Below are 22,744 nucleotides of genomic sequence, written 5' to 3' on the forward strand. Positions count from 1 at the left end.
CCCTGCCAAGCACGGAAAAGAAAATGGCACCTTCTTCTTCGCCAACCAGACACAGATCCTGTGTTAAGCACCTCTTGTAGATATTGTGGTGTTCCCTCTGTGACCCCACCCTCTTGCTTAGATGCTGTGGCCTCCATTCCATGCAGAGAGAAACAGAGCACAGAAGCCAAGTGACTTGCTGAAGACCCTGTGTCTGGGTACAGACAGGATTCAAAGCCAACTTAACTGCCCCTGCAGAACCAGCGTCCTCTGGCATAAGCAGGACCCACCCGTTGCTCATCGGTTGTTTACTATGTCCTGGAGTTTAGTAAATGTTGGCTCTGCTGCCTGTAGATGCTGTGCACCCATTTCTACCAGAATTTCTAGGTTCTTTAATCTCTTTAAATGTTTGTTACTGTCTTAGCCAGCTAAGGGTGCTCCAACAGAAGCTGTGGATGGAGTGGCTCAAACAACAAACATTTCTTCCTCACAGTTCTGGAGGCTGGGATGTCCAAAGTCAAGGCACCAGGAGACCTGCTGTCTGGTGAGGGCCTTCCCCCAGGTTTGCAGACAGCGTTTTCTCGCTGTGTCCTCTCTTGGTGGCGAGGGCGCTGGGAAGAGGAAGCTCTCTCATGCCTGTTTTTTAAGGGCACAAATCCTGTTCCTAGGGTCCCACTCACATGACCTATAACCTGCCAAAGGCCCCATCATGAGATACCATCACACAGGAGACTAAGTCACAACACACGGAGTTCCTGGGAATCCGTGACAGCTACAAAGCTTCCTGCGGCACCATGGGGTGAAGAATAGTTCTTTGATTCATCAGTTATCTTTTCTGCACGGCCATTTCTTCATGTCATCAATGAAGAGCACTCAGAATTCATCCCTCCCGATCTCCCCACAGAGCCAGGTCCCCCGGGAGTAGATGGAGCACTCTCCGATGTCTGAAAGGAAAGCACGACTACTTTGAACACATTTTCCTATCTCCTTCACTGCCCAATGCCCGTGGAACTTTTGTGTCTGTATGCAGGAAGCGTGACGACAGTCAGGCAAACATTTCATTTGCTTCTTCAAAGGTTTTCTTACTATTTCTTACAAGAAAGCTAAGATTTCCTGGATTTGGGGGAAAATGGCATGTTTACAGTCTTTGCTTTCCCTTACCAATCTTTAATCTCACGTTTCTCTCCAGGCATCTTCTGGTGTGTGCAGGACCCGATGGAGGAGTGATGAGACCTCAGAGCCATGTCCAGGCTCTTCCAGTCAGTTGGTGGCCTCCACAAATGCCAGCCAGCCCGCCCAATGCAAGCTTCTGCTTGGCCAACGTGTAGCAGTTACGATGCAGCAATTGGAAGAGGCTGTGGGGATCAGTAATTCCAGTGGGGGAGCGACGGACACCCCTAAGAACCCATTCCACGATTTTAGTCCCAAATTGGATTTTGCTTGGAGAAATTCTCTGCCCTGTAGTAGTGGTTTTTAAGATCACAGATATTGGAGTAAGAAAGACAAGGCTCTTCTATTTGCTGGTCTATTGACTCACAGGGGAATACCAGAGAACTTGGCATCCAGAAAACAGTCAACAAATGAAGACAGTGCAACTAAGACCTGGGCGCCATGTTCCTTCCCTAAGGCTCATTTCACTAGGATGCTGTGTCAGCACGCGCACACACACACACACACACACTCACACACTCCAGGAAGCCTCTAAAAGAAATGCAAGTGTTCTCCAGTAGAAGGAGCATCGCTGAAATTTACTCAACAGCACGGTCTTCGTGTCTTTCCCTCCCAGGCCCACACTCTCAGCTGCCTCCTCCCCTCTCGCTCCTTTCCTCCTGTGTTCTCCAGCAAGGGTGAGGACCCACTGTCATTCAGAAAACCTCCTCCTAGTTTTTCTATGCAGGGAGTCATTCACACATCCAGCAAGGAAAACAGGGGCTTGTGCAGACTCTCCTTGGGAGGTAATGGGAGAGGGATTCTAAATGCTTGTCACATTTTTACCTGACACTGTTACTACCATGTAACTACTAATAACTAATGCCAACTTCTGAATCATATTTCCTATCATCTTATGAGAGAGAACTCTGTGGTGTATAAACACCAAATCACAAATCTCCACTTTACATTCTTGTTTGTCTACTTGTTTGTCTGTTTTCCACTGCAGTGCAGGAGCCCGTGGAGGAGACCCGGTTTCCAGCACCGAGGGGCTCAAGAATCTCAGGTCACCTGTGAGATGAGCTCTGAGCACTTGCCCACACTCCTGAGCATGAACATAAAGCCCCATCACATGCAGTGGCAGATGGTTAAGACAACAACCAACCATCTCGTCAGATAAAAGCTTCGCTCCACTTAAAGTGGATGATTTTTAAATTTGTTTGTAAAACCTTTGATATTTGACTACTAAGAAATTATAAGATCCCTATGGACAGGCAACTAATTTTCTACATTTCCTGGTTCTTTAAAAATAAATAATTGTCATAGGTCCTTATTAAAGCTCTCAGAATTGTACTTTTGATTTCTAATAAATGCCAAAATATATCTTATCAAATATTTACAGTGGAGTCAGGCATAAAGTCTATAACCTCAAGAACATGAACTGTCAATTTATACTACCGTGGACTCAATTTGGCAAGTTAAGGGGTGAGGAATGGGATTTCAGGAAAAGCCAAAGGGTCTAATTGTTTATGATACATATTTTAAGTATCTGTCATAAAATGTGACCAAGCCTGTTGTATTCTTTGAATAGCTGATTTCCCTGTTTTATCCCCTCTTTGAGTTATTTTCATACAGTTTCACAGATAACTGCAATACTTTTTCTTAACCTGAGATTTCTGAAGTTAATATGATGGAACTGCTGTGTGACACTGGAATTCGGACTGAGGGCGTTGAAGAAGAACAGGGCTTCCTCCCAGCCAAGGGCTCTTTAATGCGGAGCCTGGAGCAGCCCAGAAATCTTGCAGCAAATCTACAAGATGGGCCGTGACCGGGTCAAACGGAAATCTCTTTCAGTACTTTGTTCATGCCATGCAATACTCTTATTCTCATCATTTTGATAAGGAATAGGTTTTTTTCCCCTTTAGTTCCTCTTCCCTAGAGATATAGATTTTTAAGCTGATTTTGTGTCTCAGGCTCATTTAAGTTTTAAAAAATATTTTCCAAGATAGATAAAACATTTTTTTTCCTCTTGGAATAATGAGTATTTATTGACATTCATTTAGTGTTGTTTCAGCAGACTGCTTCCCACTTGACCCCTGCCAGCCCCCAGGAGTGCGTTTTGGATTAGAGGAAAATGTGGAAAATTTTGAAGTGCTTTTAATCTAGTAAAACACATTGGGATGGTGTTGAACACGTTTATTAAAAATTACATGTGTTTGCATTGGCAGGAAGCATTCCAGAAAATGTCAAGAATTTCCAGGCACTTTGTGGATTTTCCAGATGATAAATGATAATTTTGCTGCTTTCATTAGCTGCTGAATTTTCTTAACTCACCCAGCATTGATACAGACAGAGCAGGGCATGGCAGACCCCGCAGTTCCGTTTCATCATACTTGCTCACTACACGATGTTGCTATGCATCCATGGACTGACAGATTGTCTGGGGGATCTTGTAGGTACCATTTCTCCTCCTTCCAGTAAAAGCAATCCTAAAGGTTTTCAAAATAATCAATTGAGAAAGTACTACCATTATTAAAAAATATATATTTTTATTTATTTTTAATATATTTTAATATATTATTATATTTATTTTAATATATTATTTTTATTTATAAAAATATAAATTTTTATTTATTATTTTTTGAAACATTGTATCCTTTGACCAACATCTCCCCATTTTTGCCCCCACCTCCAGGCCCTGATAACCGCATTCTACTCTCTGCTTTTGTGAGTTCAACTGTTTCAGGCTCCACATATAAATGAGATCATGCAGTATTTATCTTTTTATGATTGGCTTATTTTGTTTAGCATGATGTCCTCCAGGTTGATCCATGTTGTTACAAATGAGAGGATTCCATTCGTTTTTATGGCTGCATAATATTCCATCGTGTACATATACCACATTTTCTTTAACCACTCTTCTGTTGGTGGACATTTAGGTTGGTTCCATATCTTGGCTATTTTGAATACTGTGATGAACAGGGGAGAGCTGATACCCCTTGGACACACTGAGGTAGGTTGAAGAAATACTCAGTAGTAGGATTGCTGGATCTCTTGGTAGTTCTGTTTTTAATTTTTTGAGGAACCTCCATACTGTATTCCATAGTGGCTATACTAGTTTAATTTTTACCTATAGTCTACAAGAGTTCACTTTTCTTCACATCTTCACTGATACTTATCTTTCATCTTTTTCATGGTAGCCATTCTGACAGGTGTGAGGTGAGAGTTCATTGTGGTTTTGATTTATATTTCCCTGAAAACTACTGATGTTGATCACTTTTCCATATACCTATTCGTCATTTGTGCATCTTCTTTTGATAAATGTCTGTTCAGGTCTTTTGTCCATTTTTAAATCAACTTACTTGGTTTTTTGCTGCTGAGTCATTTGAGCTCCTTATATTTTGGATATTAACCAGTTATTAGTTGCATGGTTGGCAAATATTTTCTCATATTCTGTAAGTTGCTTTTTCACTCTGCTGATTTACTGTGCAGAAGCTTTTTAGTTTGATGCAATCCCATTTATCTATGTTCAGTTTTGTTGCTTGGGCTTTTGGGGTCATATCCAAAAAATCTTTCCCAGACCAATGTCAAGAAGCTTTTCGCAGCTGGGCATGGTGGCTTCTGCCTGTAATCCCAGTACTTTGGGAGGCCGAGGCAGGAGGATTGCTTGAAGCCAGGAGTTCAATACCAGCCTGGGCCACAAAGTGAAACCTCATCTTTACAAAAGCAGTTTTTTATTTTTAATTAGCTGGCCACAGTGGTGTATGCCTGTAGCCCTAGATACTTGGAAGGCTGAGGCAAGAGGATCCCTTAAGCCCAGGAGTTAGAGGCTGCAATGAGCTATGATTATGCTACTGCATGCTAGCCTGGGTGATAGAGCTAGACCATGTCTTTATTTAATATTTATGGTTTTTTTTCTAGTAGTTTTACAGTTTGGGGTCTTAGGTCGGTATATACTTTCTGTTCATTTTTATATATGGAGTGAGATAAGGGTCTAATTCCATTCTTCTGCATGTGAATATTCAGTTTTCCCAGCACCATCTATTGAAGAGACTTTCCTTTCCTCATTAGTTTCTCTTGGCAGCTTTTTCAAAGATCAGTTGATCATAAATGTGTGGATTTATTTCTGTGCTCTCTATTCTGTTCCACTGGTCTATGTTTCTGCTGTTTTTATGCCAGTACCATGCTGTTTTATTACTATAGCTTTGTTTTAGATTTTGAAATCAGTTCGTGTGATGACCCTGGCTTGATTCACTTTGCTCAAGATTGCTCTGGGTATTTAAGGTTTTTTTTTGTGATGTCACTGGAATTTTGATATAGATTGCACTGAATCTGTAGATAGTTTTGGGTAAAATATTCTAAGTATTATCACAATTAAAGAGATTCAGTAAAAACCTTACAAGACTAAATTTGCCAGCAACAAATCCTTTTAATTTTCCTTCCTCTGATAATTTCTTCATTTCCTCCTCATTCCTGAAGGACAGTTTCACTGGCTATATAATTCATAGCTCACAATTCTTCTTTAAGTACTTACAAAAATGCTGGGCCACTTTCTTTTTGCTCTAAGTTTTGGGGTAAAAAAGCTGCTGTTATTCAACTTGGGGTTCCCTTGTAGGTCAGGTGCTGCTTCTTTTTGGCTGCTTTCAAGATTTTTTCTTTGTTTTTCATTTTCAGAAGTTTAATTGGGGCGAGTTTGTGAGTTTCTTTTGTTGCTGTTGTTGTTTCTTGTGTATTTCATTTAGGGTTTGTTCACTTTGTTGTATGTGTAGGTTTGTGTCTTTCACCAGACTTGCAAAGTTTTCACCCATTATTTCTTCAAATACTTTTTCAGACACTGTATTAGTCCATTCTCATGCAGCTATGAAGAAATGCCTGAGACAGGGTAATTTATAAAGGAAAGAGGTTTAATTGACTCACAGTTCTGCTTGTCTCGGGAGGCCTCAGGAAACTTACAATCATGGCAGGGAAGCAAACATGTCCTTCTTCACATGGCGCCAGGAGAGAGAAGAATGACAGCTGAGCGAAGGGAGAAGCCCCTTATAAAACCATCAGATCTCATGAGAACTTACTCAGTATCATGAGAATAGCATGGGGGAAACCGCTCCCATGATTCAATTACCTCCCACCAGGTCTCTCCCATCACATGTGAGGATTATGGGAACTACAATTCAAGATGAGATTTGGGTGGGGGCACAGCCAAACTATATCACACTCTGTTTCTCTCATCTCTCTGAGACTCCAATGGTATGACTATTGCACCTTTTGTTACTGTGCCACAGGTCCCTGAGGGTCTCTTTATTTGTTTTCATTCTATTTTTCTGTTTCTCAGGTTGGGTAAATTCTATTAATTTTTCCTCAAGTATGCTGGTCATCTCCTTTGTCATCTCCACTTTACTGTTGAGCCCATCCAGTCAGTGTTCCACCTTTGGGATTTTTCAGTTCTACGATTTTGATTTGGATAGTTTTTGTAACTTCTATTTCTTTGTGGTGATTTTTAAAAATTTCTTTCCAATCAGTGTTCCATCGTTGTGATTTTTCAGTTCTATGATTTTGATTTGGATAGTTTTTGTAACTTCTAAATTTTTAAAATTTCTTTCAAGGCAACTTGTAATTTATTGGTGAAGAATTTTAATGACTGCTGCTTTAAACTCTTTGTTAGATAATTTTAACTTTGGAAACATGGTTGTATCAGAGAGCTGTCATCAATTGATTGTCTTCTAAAATTCAGAATGTGATTTTTTGTTTATTGGTATCGTGGGTTGTTGTACCCTAGGCATGTTGTCTCTCATGTTAGGAGACACTGGGTCCTACTTGCTTTTTTAATTTCAGCATGCAGTCCCCCTGCTGTATTTTGGCATGCAGGTCCCGGCCTCCTTTGAGAGCTGTGGTTCCAGTGGTTTATTCTGAGGGCTTTGTGGGGTTGTTTTCATCTTGGTTTAGCTGCTGCTCGTGAGGCTCACACTGGTCTCTTCTGGGACCGCCTCTGGGGTGGAAGGGGCTTCCCCAGGCCAGGGCACCGGGTGTCTCCTAGCAGCGACAAGGAGTCTCCAGCCAGGAGGAGGAAGGGGCCTGACTTGGCAGGTGTCACAGGGGCTCCCCAGGTGCCCCCAGCTGTCCCAGTGTCTCTGGCATGGGGGTCCCAGGGCTCACAGGGAAAGAGATGCTTCCCTAGGCACTGATTGTTACTGAAGGTCTCAATTGATCCTCTTTCCTAGCAATGCCAAGTCCTTCGCGTGGTGTCAGAAGAACTCCGGGTTGATCCCAAGAGCAATGAGCCTCCCTGGGCTGCCTTCTGCCATTGTGTTTGAGAAGTGCTGGGTCTGAGTGGTCTTCTTAGTTGGTTAGGGACTTAAGGTGCCCTGCCATGTGTTATCTTTTCAGTCCTGGGTTCCCAAGGCAGCTCCCCTTCTTTGCACTGCCAGCCAGAGTTCCCCCTTGGGTGTTTCCTGCCTCCTGCCCGGGGTTCACAGTCACGCTCTGCAGGAGGAATGGGCAGAAGCAGCTCAAAACCATGGTGTTCAGCCCAGACAGCTGCAATTTGGCATTTGACTCCGTGATGCCAGGGTGTACTCATGACGTGTGCTTCTCCAGTTCTTCTCTAGGGCAGCCTGGACGCGATGCTAATCCGGTACCAAGAGCACCCTCACACCAGCACGCTAGTCTCCAAATGTCATCAGTTACAGGAATCCAGGGCTGCTTGGCCTATTGGCAGATTCCAGGTGTAGGGCGGGAAGTAGAAAGGACAGCTCTGGAGCATCTGTCACCTCAGACAGCAAGGAGGTGCTCGGTGACAACCAGAACCAGGTCACAGGACACAGGAGCCCACAGGAGAGGCCCCCACTGGCCCAGCAGGGGCCAATCTGAACATCCATAAGGGTGGCGAGGCCATGGGTGGAAAAGCGTCACTCTCATTAATGCCTATGAGTTCCTAATTGTGCTAAAACAATCACAACCATCAGCATCAACCTTCAGAGGTTGCTAGGGAACCAGCTCATTATTCAAAAATCTGCTGCATAAAAGGTAAGAAAACTGAGCATTTATCTTGCCTTCCCTAAGGGACAAAGCCCTTCAGAGCATCCATGTAATCGATGCATGTATAATATTGGGCAAAGGGAAGAGGCTATTGCCAGATCCGGGAGGCTGTGGGTTCTAGCAGCAGACTTCCAAGACACCCCAAGGAATGGGGCAGAAAATGGCTCTGGACATGCCCATGCCCCTTCATGCCACGTTTCTTGAGGAGCTCTGATATGAAGTGGAAGAGGGTGGGGATTCCCAGGACCGTGCCTGAAGAGCCCTGCATTTTAAGGGGGTGGAGCAGAGGGAGCAGCCCAGGGGAGCAGCAGGAGGACACGCCAGGTAGGATGGGTGGTGAAGGCAGGGACAGGCAGGGCTTGCAGGAGGAAGGCAGGCTGGCTGGCTGGGAGACCCAGGAAGCCCACAGGATGAGATGAAGCTGTAGCAGCAGCTGGAGTATTGGGGGCTGTCCTGATGGAAGGTGGGTGGGATACAGGTTGCAGTGGCCTGGGGGTAAGGGGAAGGGAAGAGCATCTGTGATGTGGGGAAGCAGCTGGGATGGTGGAATGTGGCTCCAGGGAGAGTAGCTTTAAATCTTGATTCAATGCGAGAGACCACAGTGCACTTTGTAAGGTGGACCCTGTGAGGGAGTGTTGGGAGGAGGGCCCAGGAGGGGCAGGCCAAGGGGAGGGCAGTCAGCTGCTGCTCCTCAGCAGGAAGGAGGGGGGTCAACTCCCACGGGTGTAGACTTGGGTGTTGGGGGTGGATCTGTGCTCTGGTGGATTCTACTTCGTCTGTGCTGTAGAGACAATTTTCCAACATCGGTCTCGTTCCTGAGAGTTATAAGAGAGTTGGAAAAGTCAGAGGCTGACAATGGAGGGGACATTTCTGAGTAACTTTTGCTAAAGGTGAGAGAGCGAGATGCCCAGACAGACAGTAAGCTTGCAGGGTGATGGATACAGGTGGGGAGACTGGGCGGGGGACCTTTCTATCTTCAGAGCTTTGCTGCTTAAGGCACAGGCTCAGAAGAGGAAGAAGACGGCCTGCCCTGCTGGCACTTTCCCAGGATGGGGGGAAAGGCATGGAGGCGTGTGTGAAGGTGCTCGCAGGGATGGACCATGGACTCCAAGCCCAGTGTGAGGCTGTGGGATGGGACATGGCTGGAGACTGTGTCCCATGAACGGGGAGCCTGCTGCAGCTCAGTGTGGAGCAAATGCACTGAGGAGCTGAGGGTGGGGAACCTTTCCACGGGTGACAGATTCGCCCCAATAGCGGGAGGTAAATAGGGCGGTGGGCGCCAGGAGGCTGAAGGATGTGCTGACCGTGCTATTCTCTCTGTCACCTCTGTTGGTGCTTATTAACTGAAAAACACATTTGTGTGGGCAGGGAAAATGTTAATGGATCTGGGCATGTTTCCTTTAATACAGATTTCACAAGAAACCAAAAGCAAATTAAATTACATTGTTATGGTATTTTCCTCACTATTTAAATTTGTGAAATGCCCACAGGTGCTGAGGACGTATCTGAAGGGGAAACTTTATTAATCTCTGGACAGGAAAGGAGGCGGGATGCCTATGGGACCGTCCTGAATTGCTGTCCTACGATGGTCGGGCCCTGCCGGAGAGAGGGTTCCTCCGACTTTGCCAGGGCTACTGAGAAGGGGACACAGTCCTGGGCCCAAGAGTGAGGCCAAGCTTTGGTTTTCCACCTATCCAAAAAGGAAGAGCAGAAGGCGCTAGGTGGGTTCTGGAAGTTAGTCTGATTTGCCAGCTGGACTGGGGGCTCCTCTGTTTTGTAGAAGAGACTCTGGCGGTGGGAGAGAGACAGCCACCATAGGTGCAGAGGACCCCAAAGCACTGGTCTAGGGCTACAGCATGCTTTGGTGTGGGGAAAACACATCCTGAATTTCCAAGAAAAATATTAAAGGTAAGCTAAATTGTGCATTAACAAATAATCAGTTTTTTTAGGAGTTTTAGATTTATAGAAAAACTAAGCAAAGTGTAGAGTACAGAGAGCATCCATATGCCCCACCCCTTGTTCTCCTATTATTAACATCTTGCAATAGTGCAGTACAGCTGTTACAACTAATGATCCAATATTGATACGTTATTACTATTAACTAAAAGTCCATGGTTTACATGAGGGTTCACTCTAGGTATTGTACAGTCTGTGGGTTTGGACCAGCCTACGATGACATGGACTCACCATTATGGTCTCATCCAGAGGAGTTTCCCTGCTCTGTGCTCCACCTGTTTCTCCCTCCTCTGAGTCCCTGGAAAACACTGATTTTTCCACTGTCTCTGTCGTTTTGCCTTCTCCAGGGTGTCATAGGGTTGGAATCCTACAGGAGGCCGCCTTTTCCGACTGGCTTTTTTCACTTTGCCGTATGCATGTAGCGTTCCTCCGTGTCTTTTCGTGACTTCATAGACCATTTCTCTTTAGTGCTGAGTAATATTTCACTGCGTGGGGGTAACCACAATTTGTCTGTCTACTTAACAGACAGGCATCCTGCCTAACTAGTTTTTTTTTTCTTTTTTAGGGAAAAAGCATTAAGATTAAAATGTAGACTTTTTAAGGGAAAGATACTTTGTGGTCTTTGGACTTTGATTACGAGCTTAGGTTTTCTAAGGTGCCAGGCGACCTTTCAGAGAGATCAGAAGCAAAACGTAGCAAACCACCATGGGCCAGGCCACTTTGGGGTCCACCAGTGGCAAGACCCTCCCAACCAGCAAGTCAAATAAATACGAGCCATCTTCCACTTCTGACAGAGGCCTAGTTAGCCTGTGTAACAGCAACAGTAAAAGTAAATTTAGCATTCCTTTAATTTTGAACATTTGACCATGTGAACAGCTTCACGACGAAGGTGAAGGAGGTTTGCCTAAAGCCTCTCCTGTGCTGCTTGGGCTGTGTCCCTTCAGTAAGATGGTTTCTGACCCTCTATCTGATGGGGAGGATGGAACCATCTTCCTCTCTCTAATGGGAAGCACTGAACCTATGGCTGAGTGACTGGGGAGGGAATTAGGAATTCAAGACCCAGAAATAAGGAAAATCCACAAAAATGTATGCTATACAACTCTGTTTATATATATATATATATATATATGTAAAACTTACCTTCACTTGGCTGGGCGTGGTGGCTCAGGCCTGTAATCCCAGCACTTTGGGAGGCCAAGGTGGGCAGATCACCTGAGGTAAGGAGTTCGAGACCATCCTGACCAATATGATGAAACTCCATCTCTACTAAAAATACAAAAATTAGCCGGGCGTGGTGGCAGGTGCCTGTAATCCCAGCTACTTGGGAGGCTGAGACAGGAGAATTGCTTGAACCTGGGAGGTGGAGGTTGCAGTGAGCCAAGATCGTGCCATTGCATTCCAGCCTGGGCAACAAGAGCAAAACTCCGTCTCAAAAAAAAAAAAAAAATTACCTTCACTCACAACAAAGTTTGGTCATTAGACTGAAATGTATAGGGTTAAAAAACCATTTCTCCTGTTAGCACAAATAGTGATGACACTACTTCTTTTTTCTTGCTATGTTTAATTTTATAGATAGAACAGACATATCACCACAGCTGTTTTTAGAAGCAGAATTTTGGGGAGAAACATGGTTATTAAAAAAGCCAAATAATTGGATATAAACATTTAATTATTTCCCTCATTTTCATCATCCCTGTAGATGTCATGTCACTTTTATGCCCAAATAAAGCAAATGCAAATGTATTCTATAAATAAAGCTAGGGTTGTTCTCCAGATGAGAACATGGGAATGGCATTTCGGAAGGGAGGTGAAAACGTCTCCCAAACGCACCCGTTCCCATTACCCATCATTTAGGTGTTGTCCATCAGAGCTGTTTGCATCTGGCGCTGACACCGTGCAAAATTCATTCATGGAAACTTTCAGTCACACTTGAGAAGTTTGGCAGATGGTGTCTCTTCTCATTTAATTTTTTTTTCCAATTTTTTTTTTCACATAACTCTCTCTCTGGGCCCTCGACCCCCCAGCTCGATCCCTTTTTTGAGGAGAGATCTAATCAGTGGCGTGTTAAACAGGAGGGGATCTTTTATGTCTGTGGCGTTGGGACAAGCGGAGCGCGGCTGTGGATCACCAGAATAAACAACGTGGGCCGATTCAATTACAATGCGGCCCGGCTTTTATCTGGTGGTGACATCATTTCAATCAAAATGTAAAATAATACAATCCAACAGTTGCAAGAGGCAGAGATAGGACACAGGCGGCTGCACTTTGTCGTTTAATAAAAGAGAGGGGAAGGGGACCCCTCCTCCTGACAGCGGTGAAGCCTTCCAGTCCCAAATCTCCATTACCTGCTCTCAACGTGCTCACAGGAACCAAATGCAGGAGATTGTCTATTACTTTTGGTCAGTGGAAGCCGTAATGTAGGCTACAGACTCCTGTCCTGTTTTTTTCTTTGTTCGTTTAATTAACAGAAGCATGAAATCTTCCTATTGGCAGCTTCTATTGCTTTTCCCCCTCCGAGCAGGGACTTTGTTCATTTCCTTTGTCTCCTTTGAAATTTTTTTTTTTTAAACAGTGATGTTTTTCAAGAACCGCAAATCATCATGAGAAGAAAAACATAATTCAAGGGCAAATATATCGTCTCGAAAGGGCTTAGGCTGCCGAAGCAATTGGTGGCACGTTTCCTTCTCCGCAGCACTTTGTGTGAAAGTTTCCTTTCAATGCCAAGACTTTCAGAGTCCTCGGGGAGAGGTGAGAGTGACGATAAGCACAATAAATCCAGTGCCGTCCACCCTGCTCCATAGCAAAGAGGGAGAAAAGGAGGGTGCAGCGAGGGAGAGGGGGAGCAGAGCCGTGACTCTGCAGCCGGCCTCTGTGGGTGAGCAGCCGGCCTCCAGCTGCCCTTTCCGGTTCCTCAGTGTGTGCTTTGTTTTTCCTTGAACTGTACTTCGTTTACAGCAATCAATCATTTTAAAAAGAAAGGATCCATTACCCATCAATATTTTTGATCGTTCCATACAACCTAGATGATCCATAGAACAGAACCGGCTTGGGTGAGCCTCACAGTGCGGCAGCAACACCTTGACCCCATCACTTGGAACCCCGGGGCTCCTGCAGAGGCTGCGACAGCCCAGCCTGGGGCGACTGGATCTGGCCTTCCCTAGCGGAAGAGAGAGGGATACAGCTTTACATGCCCCCTGGTATCCTAAAGAATACAGCATCATTGGAAAGGCAGTGTTTTCATATAAAAAGTGAAATAGCAGCATGTTCCATTGTGGCCTAGGAATAAAACAATAGGATGTTTGTGCAACCAACAGAAAATCAGGCGACTTGGGGAACAGGAGGTTAACTGGGAATTTACTCTCACTGTATTTCAGCAGAGGCTGTGAACAGGGAACAAGAGTCCTCATCCTAAAGAGTGGCTCGGCCTTGCCACTCAGAACCTACTCCCAGAAGGCACGGACCCTGTCTGCCGTCACTCCCAGTGCACCCTCTGACACACACAGAAGGCCAGGCACTTCCAGCCACTCCCCCACACAGAAGGCCAGGAACTTGGAAGGAGTTGATGAGAGGGGTTTCCTGGCTTTCTGTCTTCCAGCTCTGCCTGAGGGGAGGGTATGCTCCCCAACCGCAGGTCCATGAGGGGCCTCCCAGGAAGCAGGTATGGAGATCAGGACTCCCATAAAAGGGGAGATGGGAAGCCCCGCCCCTTACCAACCAAAATGGACGGTGGGAAGGAGGTGGACTGTGTGCGATATTGAGGGTTTGGCTGAAGCTGGAGACAGGGGCCTTAGGCAAACTGTCCAGAACCCCCAGCACCACCACAGTGAAACAGCGGAACAGTGAAATTTGGAATTCTCTTATTCATTTACAGAATACTTGTCAGATGTTCCCTCTCTTCTCTGCTTCAAAAAATGTTCTTGAAGGCTCAGACTCTGAGTAGAAATAACAGATCATGCTAGGGTTCCAAATACTTGGAGACATTTTTCAATACATGAAAACTCTTCCTCCCTCCCTCCCTCCTTAGCTCGCTCGCTCTCTCCGATCGCAGTCTCTCCTGGTGTAGTGATGATGCCGGAATGCACACCCAAGAAAAGCAAATCCACAGCAGACCAAAGCAACTCGGGGGTGCCCTAAATCCCTCAGTTGGGCCATCCCTATTTCTCAGGAGCTGGAGAGATAACTCTGTGACCTGTGGGAGTACACGGCTTCTCCCCAAACATCCAGGACTCCCAGGCCAGTGTGGGCTTCCTGGGGTCCCTTGGTGCAGGTCCTGTCTCTGCTCCTCCTTTCTGTTTCCCAATCTACGTGAATCCACCAGAGAAATTCAGCCTGTTTCTCAAACCGCACATGGCCATAACGGCCACACACAGCACCTGCGGTGAGGCAGCCTGGCACGGGGTCACAGGACGTGCAGGGGCCCCAGGAGCGGTCACGGTCACATGGAGTACAGGAGTGACATGAAGCATAATGGCCTCATAGTTTATGGTGATCACAGACGTCCCATGATCACATGACACAGGAGCCACGTGAAGTGTGGTGGACACATGACACACAGGAGCCACGTGAAGAGTGGTGGACACATGAAGTGTAGCCTCTCATGTTACACAGTGGTCAGCACTTGGTGTCTCCCACGCGCCACACCATTCTGTGACCACACCTCCCTGGCCCTTGTTCCCAAGGAGCTTCCCTTGTCCCAGCCTCTTCGCCAGTGACTTCTCACTGGACCATTCCTTTACAAGGAGCCTGTTTTTTGTGTTTTTTTTTTACACCTTTTTTCTTCTATTTCACAGAAGGAACACCGGACGTCCCTCTGTGATGGCAGCAGCCATGCTGCCTCTGTTTCCGCTCAGGGGTTCTCTGCCACCTCCAATTCCACCCAGTCTCTTGGCCTCGGCTGGGCTTCGGCTCCCGCCTCTGTGCCAAAAATTGCAATGCCCGCGGTCAGGGCGCTTTGCGGAGTCTCACCGCCTGCGGAGGCTTGATTCCCTCCTCACAGGCAGCAGCGTTTGATGGCCGGTGACGCCCCCCTTTCCAAGCACATCTCTCATGGCCCCTGAATGCCACTTACAGGGCGTCCCTCCCTGTGCTAAGTGCTGCCTGGAGCTTTGGGTGTGGCAGCAGCAAAGACCTCTACCCTTGTGGATGTTCGTTTCGGGGTGGAAAGACAGATAGCAAAGTTGGTCGTAAACTGTAGAGTGTGCTGGGAGGAAACTGAGGCAGGGAGGGCCTGGTGCCACTGGGGAGCGCTGCCCCGACCCCATGTGCTTCCCAGGCTCCCTTGGAGCCACGTGGATGGCGACTTCCTGACCTTGGAGGCCGCGGTCCTCAGTCCTCATGCTCGATGGCGTCAGCCCCCTCTTGGGGAAATCCAAGCATTCCTGACCTGAAGATGCACCCACATCTCTGTCTCCAGCAGAGGACACCCCATCCCGGCTGCAGGCTCCTCCGTCCATTGCCTTGGAGGCTCCAGTCCCCTCCGAAGCATCGCGCACGAGGCCTGTCGGGAAACGACATCTCGTCTTCCCCCGACGCCTGCACCTGGGCCACCCCTTCTTTCTGTTCTCCACGTCGCACGTCCAGTCTGACAGCAGCCTGCGGGGCCTGTCCAAGGACTGCTCCAGAGCGGGACGCATCCTCTCCCGGCTCTCAGCAGTTCATGCCCGGCCGTCCCTCACCTGAAGTGCTGCAAGGGGTCAGTTGGCTCCCACCTCAGTCCGTTCCTGACCCAGCAGCCAGGGTGGTCCTCTTGCGAGGGAAGTCAGATCCACTCTTCCCGCTCGGGACCCCGGAGTGGCCCCACGGCCCTGAGAGTCAGCCAGTGCCTTGAACGGCCCTCATGACACTGCAGGCCGCAGCCCCCGCCTCTGAGCCTTGCCTGTGCTCACCATTCCCAGCCACCTGGCTTCTTGTGTTGTGCACTGAGCTGGGCACGCTCCCGCAGAGGCCCTCTCCACCTCTGGCAAAGGAAGGGCTGTGAGTTCCTCTTCTCCCAGCAGAAGGCTCTTCTCGCAACCTCCCTGGTCTGGCTCTGTCATCTCCCGGAGTCTTTGCGCAAATGCCACCTTCTGAGGGATTCAAAATGCCCCCACCTTCCAGTGTCTGCTTCCCTACTTGACTCTTCCTTGGCTCCAGTCCCCGCAAGACATTTTATACCAATTCATTCCTTTCAGGCTTCTTTCTCTCCTCATCTGGTTGTGTGAACCCAGGGATTTTGGCCTAAGCTTTTCTCTCTGGTGTCTCTATTGCCCCGGAACCCATGAACTGTGCCCTGCAAACAGCAGCCGCTCTTGACAAATGCACGGCGTGAGTGAATGTGAGTCGTCCTTGTCTACTTTCTCTTCTCTCCCTTCCAGGAGCAAAATTTCAGAATAATCCATTGTTCAAATGTGCAGTTCCTTGGCTAAGCATTCAGCAGGGTTTGGGTTAATCTTTCTAATGATGTCTTGCAGTTTCACTTTCTAAACATAGGGGCTTAGCAGTGTGGTTCCCCCAGCCCCTAAAAAGTTTTTCTCTCGTATTAGTTTGCTTAGGCTGCCATAACAGACCACCACCCACTGGGAAGCTTAAACAACAGACGTTTATTTTCCCACAGCTCTGGAGGCTGGAAATCAGAGATTGAGGTGTGGCAGGGTGGGTTTCTCCGGAACCCTCTCTCCTTGGCTTGTAGACACCGACTTCTCCTGGTGTCCTCACAGGGTCGTCCCTCTTGGGTGTCTGTGTCCTCTTCTCCTCTTCTTATAAGGACACCAGTCCTAGTGGATTAGGGCCCCATATGACCTCACTTTACCTGAATTAACCCTGTAAAGACCCTGTCTCTCATCAGTCCCAGTGGGACCGGGGTCTCAGCATGTGGAGTCTGGGGTCACCGCTCAGTCTAGTGCCCTGGAGAGCATTCTCTCTAGGCTGATAGGAGAGTGCATGTTCCCATCCAGAGGCACACGATTAGGTGCACTGTCTCAGGAGATGCCATTGTCCCTAGGAAGGAAGCCACCAAAGCGGTTTGTTGGTCTGCAGGATGAAGCTCTGCTGAAGGGAGCTGAGGCATGTGGACAGAGGAAGGTGCTTCATTTGGCCTTGTTTGGGGACCCAGCTGGCTGGGCAGCCAGGCTGTCACTCCATCTGAGTAGGTGTCTGGAGGCCTTGCTGGCCGCTGGGACTTTTGGCTGCTGGGTTCCATGAGTCCAGCCTGTTTTATTCTTTGAGTTAGGAGCAAGGAAGTACATAGAGAAAGTGCAGCCCACACACTGCCATGCGGTGACCCGGCACATCCCAGGGACCCTGCAGGTGACCGTTTCCAGCTTCAAGGTCTCAACGCTGCAGTGTGGCTGGGAGAGATGTTCCCCTTCAGAAGCTTCAGAAACACATGAGTACGGTCAACTCTCACACAAATGATGTCTCCGTCAGGTTCAGGGAGCTAAACTGGCCCTGCAGTTGGGGAGTGCCCTAAGACTATGAGACTGGGAGTAAAGTATTTCCCCAACCACACCCACAGCTTTGAAGGGAGCAGGGAAGCCCCAGCCTCCATCTGCTGTAGGACATGGTTCCTTGGTGCTCACTGGGGTGACCTCCCACATCCCCTGACCCCCACCAAGGCCAAGCCCCACCTGCAGCCATGGCCTCCAGTCCCAGGTCCAAGTCCCCTTCAGGCGTGGCCAGAGTGCAATCTGTACAAAAGCTGCATCTGCCCTCCAGGCTCCGAGCATCCAGGCACCTTGCTTCTCTCTCCACGAGCTCTGTTAAGACTTGGTCCTGGGGTATGGAAGCCTGACGGGAAGAGGGACCCCAGTACCAAAGACCGCACGCACTCCTCATTGCAGAGGCAGAGGGAGGGTCTAATTCACGCCTGCGGATGACCTGGCTCCTGCCTGGCTTCTTACAAAGGTGATGAAAGGTCCGATTCCAGAGTAAAGATGCTCAGACCGGGTGAAACTGAGCAGTCACTGTCAACATGTGATGGGGCTGCGACTCATCTTTGCAAGTTATTTTCTTTTTCTAAGTACACATTTATTCCGGACTGTCTCAGGAAGTCACTGTCAACATGTGATGGGGCTGTGACTCATCTTTGCAAGTTATTTTCTTTTTCTAAGTACACATTTATTCCGGACTGTCTCAGGAAATGGCTATTTTTCCTCAGAGATGTTCAAGGTCCTGTCCAAACACCGGGGTAAAGGCTAGATGGGGTTACAAACTCTCCGGTTTGTGCTTGTCGATCGCGTGGGTGGACGGTCCCTGCAGGGCTCAGGGACACATTGTCCCAGTTGACCTGGTGAACTGTTGGAGTCTGGAGGACAGATAGTTAAAGTGAAGAGCTCAGAAATGCGCCGAGAGCTGTTCTTCCCCAGGAGATAGTGCTGGAGGGAAGGGGGCCAGGCTGGACACACGCTTGGGCTTCGTTGCTTCCCGGAACCCGGGACTGTGGACTGTCCTTCTTTTGGCCATGCTGTGAAGAAGCTGATTTTGGAGCTGCTATTAGTATACTGGGAGCAGAACTAGCTTGCTTTGGCAGGGGCCAGGTGCACAGGAAGCAGGAGAGGAGGCAGGTCCATGCTGCTTCTGGGTGGGGGGCGCAGAATCAGCACCTGCACAGGGTGCTTCTAGGGGGCGCTGCAGGAAGACCCCCAGCCTGATTCCGAGAGCCTCCAGGCCCAGCACTGTGCTGAGGGGTCCTCATTGTCACCCCACAGCCTCCAGGAGCTCTCATTAGACAGACATCTCATCTCCCTGTCCTTGTGGGGAGTGTGGAGCCCAGCACAGCCACCAGTGGAGGGGGCCGGGGAGAGGTGGGTGGGGGCTGATCCCAGAGCTTCCCAGGCTTGTCCAGGGAGACAGAGCTGGCCATAGTCTAAGCTTCATTTTCCTGATTTCCTGGGAGCTTATGGCCATTGGTTATGGAGGCTAAATATGATTTTCTTGTGCTTTACTGGCCGGGCAGGCCACGTTCTGTCCTTTCCCTGGGAACATCCTTCCTGCCCTTCTTGACCTGTTGCCTTTCTGGTCTCCTGAGCCTGACAGCCGTTGGAGGGGCAGTCTGTGCCCATGCTGGAGATGACTCTCCTCTTCCCCTGCATCTCTGGCCTGTAGATGGCGGGATCACATCTGCCCTGTGTACCTGCCCCATGCAGGCTTGTTCTCTGGCCACACTTGGCATGTCTGTGTCCGTGGGAATGTTCCAAATGCCTTGCACAAAATAAATGGTGACTATGGGCTCCTGAAGAGGGTGACATCCAGATACTGATTCCTCTGGAAATGTCACCAGAAGGGATGCTGGTCCTTCTACTCTCAGCTGTTTCTGGGAACAAAGTCTCGGATGTACTGATGTTTCCATCTTGTATTATATTTCCTTTTAGAAAATAAAATTGACACTTAGGAAACAAACGAAAGAAAACAGTTGGGAGTTACATTAATTTGTCCCAAGACTTCTCTGGGCTTGGGAATTGCAGGGAGGAAGAGCACCAAGGGAGCCACTTCCTATGGTGATCGCAGCATGCTCTCGTGGATTTGCACAGAGAGTCCAGCTTTTCCTTTCAGAGCTGAGCATTTGTTGAATCCTAATCAGTTTGTGTCACGAGCCCATGGATTTTGCAGTATTAGCTGTTGGTGACTGTGGTATTGATGACTTTAGTTTTCTGCTGCATATAATGAGTATCTGTCAATGTCCTGCTGCCAAACCTGCAGGCGTGAGTGTGTGGACAGAAGTGACCAGGTGCGCGCGGGTGGGTGGACAGGAGTGACCGGGCGCGCGTGCATGAGTGGACAGAGGTGACCGGGTCCACGTGCGTGCCTGGACAGAGGTGACCAGGCCCGCGTGTGTGCGTGGGTAGAGGTGACTGGGCCCGTGTGTGTGCGTGGGCAGAAGTGACTGGGCGTGCGTGTGTGGACAGAAGTGACCGGGCGCGCCTGTGTGGGCGGGCAGAGGTGACTGGGCCAGCATGCGTGGGTGGGCAGAGGTGACCGGGCATGCGTGCGTGGGCGGGCAGAGGTGACCGGGCGTGCGTGGGTGGACAGAGGTGACTAGGCATTGCTTGCGTGGGTGGGCAGAGGTGACCGGGCTTGCGTGCGTGGGTGGACAGAGGTGACCAGGCGTGCGTGCGTGGGCAGAGGTGACTGGGCATTGCGTGCGTGGGTGGACAGACGTGACTAGGCGCGAGTGCGTGGGTGGACAGAAGTGAGTAGGCGTGCATGCGTGGGTGGACAGAAGTGACTAGGCACGTGCGTGGGTGGACAGAACTGACTAGGCGTGCATGCGTGGGTGGACAGAAGTGACTTCATGGCTCATTGCAGCGAGGGAGGAGGCATGCTGGAGAAACACGGGCATCACCGTGAGGGGTGAGAATGGCCTTCTCTCAGGATTCAGGCTGTATCAGGCAGCTTTGAGGGACATTTGGGGAAGCAGGACTCGGCTTTGGGTTGGCTGCTGTCAGGAAGCTGGGAAGATTCTGTGTCTTAGTAAATCCCATCCAGGAATGGGGAGATGAGGCGAGGCCTGAGCCGTGACTGGTAAGGAGGCCACAGTCACTTGCCCAAGCTCGGATCCGGCCTGCTGGGTCATCCTGTGGTTGGACGATGTTCATCGGAGGTGGCCGTGGGGTAGATGCTCTTTTTCTTGCTCTGTCACAGAGTGGCTTGGTCTGAGGCTGGTGCCGAGCAGAACACTGAGACCTGGTTTTAGGGCCAGGCCAGTCAGTGCTGGCTGTCGGTGGTGGCTTTCCCTTTCCTAAAGGAGAGGGCCTCCAGCTGTTGGGCTACAGGAAGGAAGACACAGTCCTGGCTCTGGGGTGTCCCCAGGTGGGGCCACTGCTCTTCCTGGAGACACACAGGAAAGCAGAGCCTCCCTTTGCGCTCCTCAGGGCAGGCGGGGCCTGGGAAGGAGCTCATCCCGATGCCGCTTCACTCACTGCGATGCTGACAACCAGCCGCGTTACTACGCCATTCCCGGGGAACGGGGAAGATGCCCGTCTTTTCCTGCGCATCATCAAGCATTCCTTGGAGTTGTATTTCTTGGAAGACCATTCATTTCAGGTCATGCTCAGAAAAGACATAAGGACCTGGTGTCAGTGAGAGTGGTGATTATGAATTACCGACGATGAATTGCATCCTGTCACCCTGCTGGCAGGGTGGGGGCAGCCCCATGGGCTCCTCACCCATTTCAGAATCTCCAAGTCAGAGTCGCAAGGCGGTGCCACCATCATTCAAACAAGATCACTTCTCAATTAATATGTCTCAGCAGGTATTTTACTGTGCTTGGATTTCCTTCCTTCCTTCCTTCCTTCCCTCCTTCTCTCTCTCCCTCTTTCTTTCTTTCGTCTTTCTTTCCCCTCCCTCCCTTCCTTCCTTCCTTCCTTCCTGCCTTCCTTCCTTCCTTCCTCTCTCTCTCCCTTTCTCCCTTCCCTTCCCTTTCCTTTCCTTTCCTTTCCTTTCTTTTCTTTTCCTTTCCTCTCAAGTTTCTGAGTTTCCTTTCCTTTCCTGAGTTTCACTGTTGTTGTCCAGGCTGGAGTGCAATGGTGCAATCTTGGCTCACTGCATCCTCTGCCTCCCAGGTTTAAGCCATTCTCCTGCCTCAGCCTCCCGACTAGCTGGGATTACAGGTGCCCGCCACCACGCCCGGCTAATTTTTGTGTTTTTAGTAGAGATGGGGTTTCACCATGTTGGTCAGGATGGTGTCAAACTCCTGACCTCAGGTGATCCACCCACCTCGGCCTCCCAAAGTTCTGGGATTACAGGTGTGAGCCACCACGCCTGACCAGGTTATTTTCTTTAAGAGATTTTAACCTCTTCTTCAAAATGGTAAATTACTTTTATCCATGAATTGCTCTCATTCTTAATGTCATTTCAGTAAATGCTGATTGGACACTCTCTGTCAGGTGCTCCTAGAGGTGCTAGCAAGAAGGGAATGAATGAAACAAACCTGCCTCTTCTTGGCCTCAGACCCACGTTTCAACCCATACATCATTTCCAAAGTGCTTATGTATTCACACATTAATCAATTAATTAGTTATTGCTGTGACGCTCTACCAGCACCCACAGCAGTCTGCTCCTTCGTGCAAGCCTGCTGAGCCCACCGCCAGAGCCTGCCGAGGGTCTGCTCCTACCCAGGGGCCACGTGGGCAGAGCCTCCTCTCATGCCTCTGTCAAACGGGCCTGAGTCAGCACGCCTCGCATGTGTGTTGGCAGCAGTTTGGAGTTGGAGAAGAAACTCCTCATTGCTTTGATCAAACCCCCCTTGCAGGGCCTTTGCTCATTGCCTTTTCCTTATAGGCGGCCAGCCCCATCCAAAGCAATGTCCCGAATCCTAGGTGTTTTTACGTCCAGTGAGTCTGTGTCTTCTGATTGTTTCACTGGAGAGCACTGTGGCCCACACTGCCTGTGTGGCATCTGCTGTTAGGTGTGGCCATGTGTCCAATGAGCCTCATGCGGACTCCATTTCTAAGGAGTTTTCCTTTAATAAAAAAGACAGAAATATAAACAAATGATCACAATACCATGAGATTACCTCTGCACTGGAAATATGTACTCGGTGTGTACAAATCACAGAGAAGTCCACTGATGCTCCTGGAGACGTGAGGCATGTGGACACTGCCCAGACAGAAGTGGCTGCATCTCCAAGGATGAACTGAGCTCACAGCAGGTC

At 48.7% G+C, this 22,744-nt stretch overlaps 1 long non-coding RNA gene across 1 annotated transcript in view, besides 2 other annotated features; it reads left to right on the plus strand.

Annotated features, from left to right (window-relative positions):
* Positions 1-2,525, plus strand: part of LOC105374618 (uncharacterized) — a 188,354-nt gene extending 185,829 nt beyond the window's left edge. The window contains exon 13 of the long non-coding RNA NR_171679.1: positions 1,169-2,525. This is a non-coding gene — a long non-coding RNA (uncharacterized LOC105374618). The remainder of the gene's footprint in view (positions 1-1,168) is intronic.
* Positions 19,550-20,749: an enhancer, noted in NCBI's record as "BRD4-independent group 4 enhancer chr5:2136525-2137724 (GRCh37/hg19 assembly coordinates)". NCBI's record gives its function as "activates an origin of replication core promoter dependent on BRD2, P300/CBP, MED14 and CDK7 cofactors, and independent of BRD4, by STARR-seq in HCT116 cells {active_cell/tissue: HCT116}" and the evidence as "EXISTENCE:reporter gene assay evidence [ECO:0000049][PMID:35650434]".
* Positions 19,930-20,429: an enhancer, noted in NCBI's record as "H3K27ac-H3K4me1 hESC enhancer chr5:2136905-2137404 (GRCh37/hg19 assembly coordinates)". NCBI's record gives its function as "activates a minimal SCP1, AML or CMV promoter by ChIP-STARR-seq in primed H9 embryonic stem cells {active_cell/tissue: H9 hESC(primed)}" and the evidence as "EXISTENCE:reporter gene assay evidence [ECO:0000049][PMID:30033119]".

This window comes from Homo sapiens, chromosome 5 (assembly GCF_000001405.40).
Source record: "Homo sapiens chromosome 5, GRCh38.p14 Primary Assembly".
Lineage (NCBI taxonomy): Eukaryota > Metazoa > Chordata > Mammalia > Primates > Hominidae > Homo > Homo sapiens.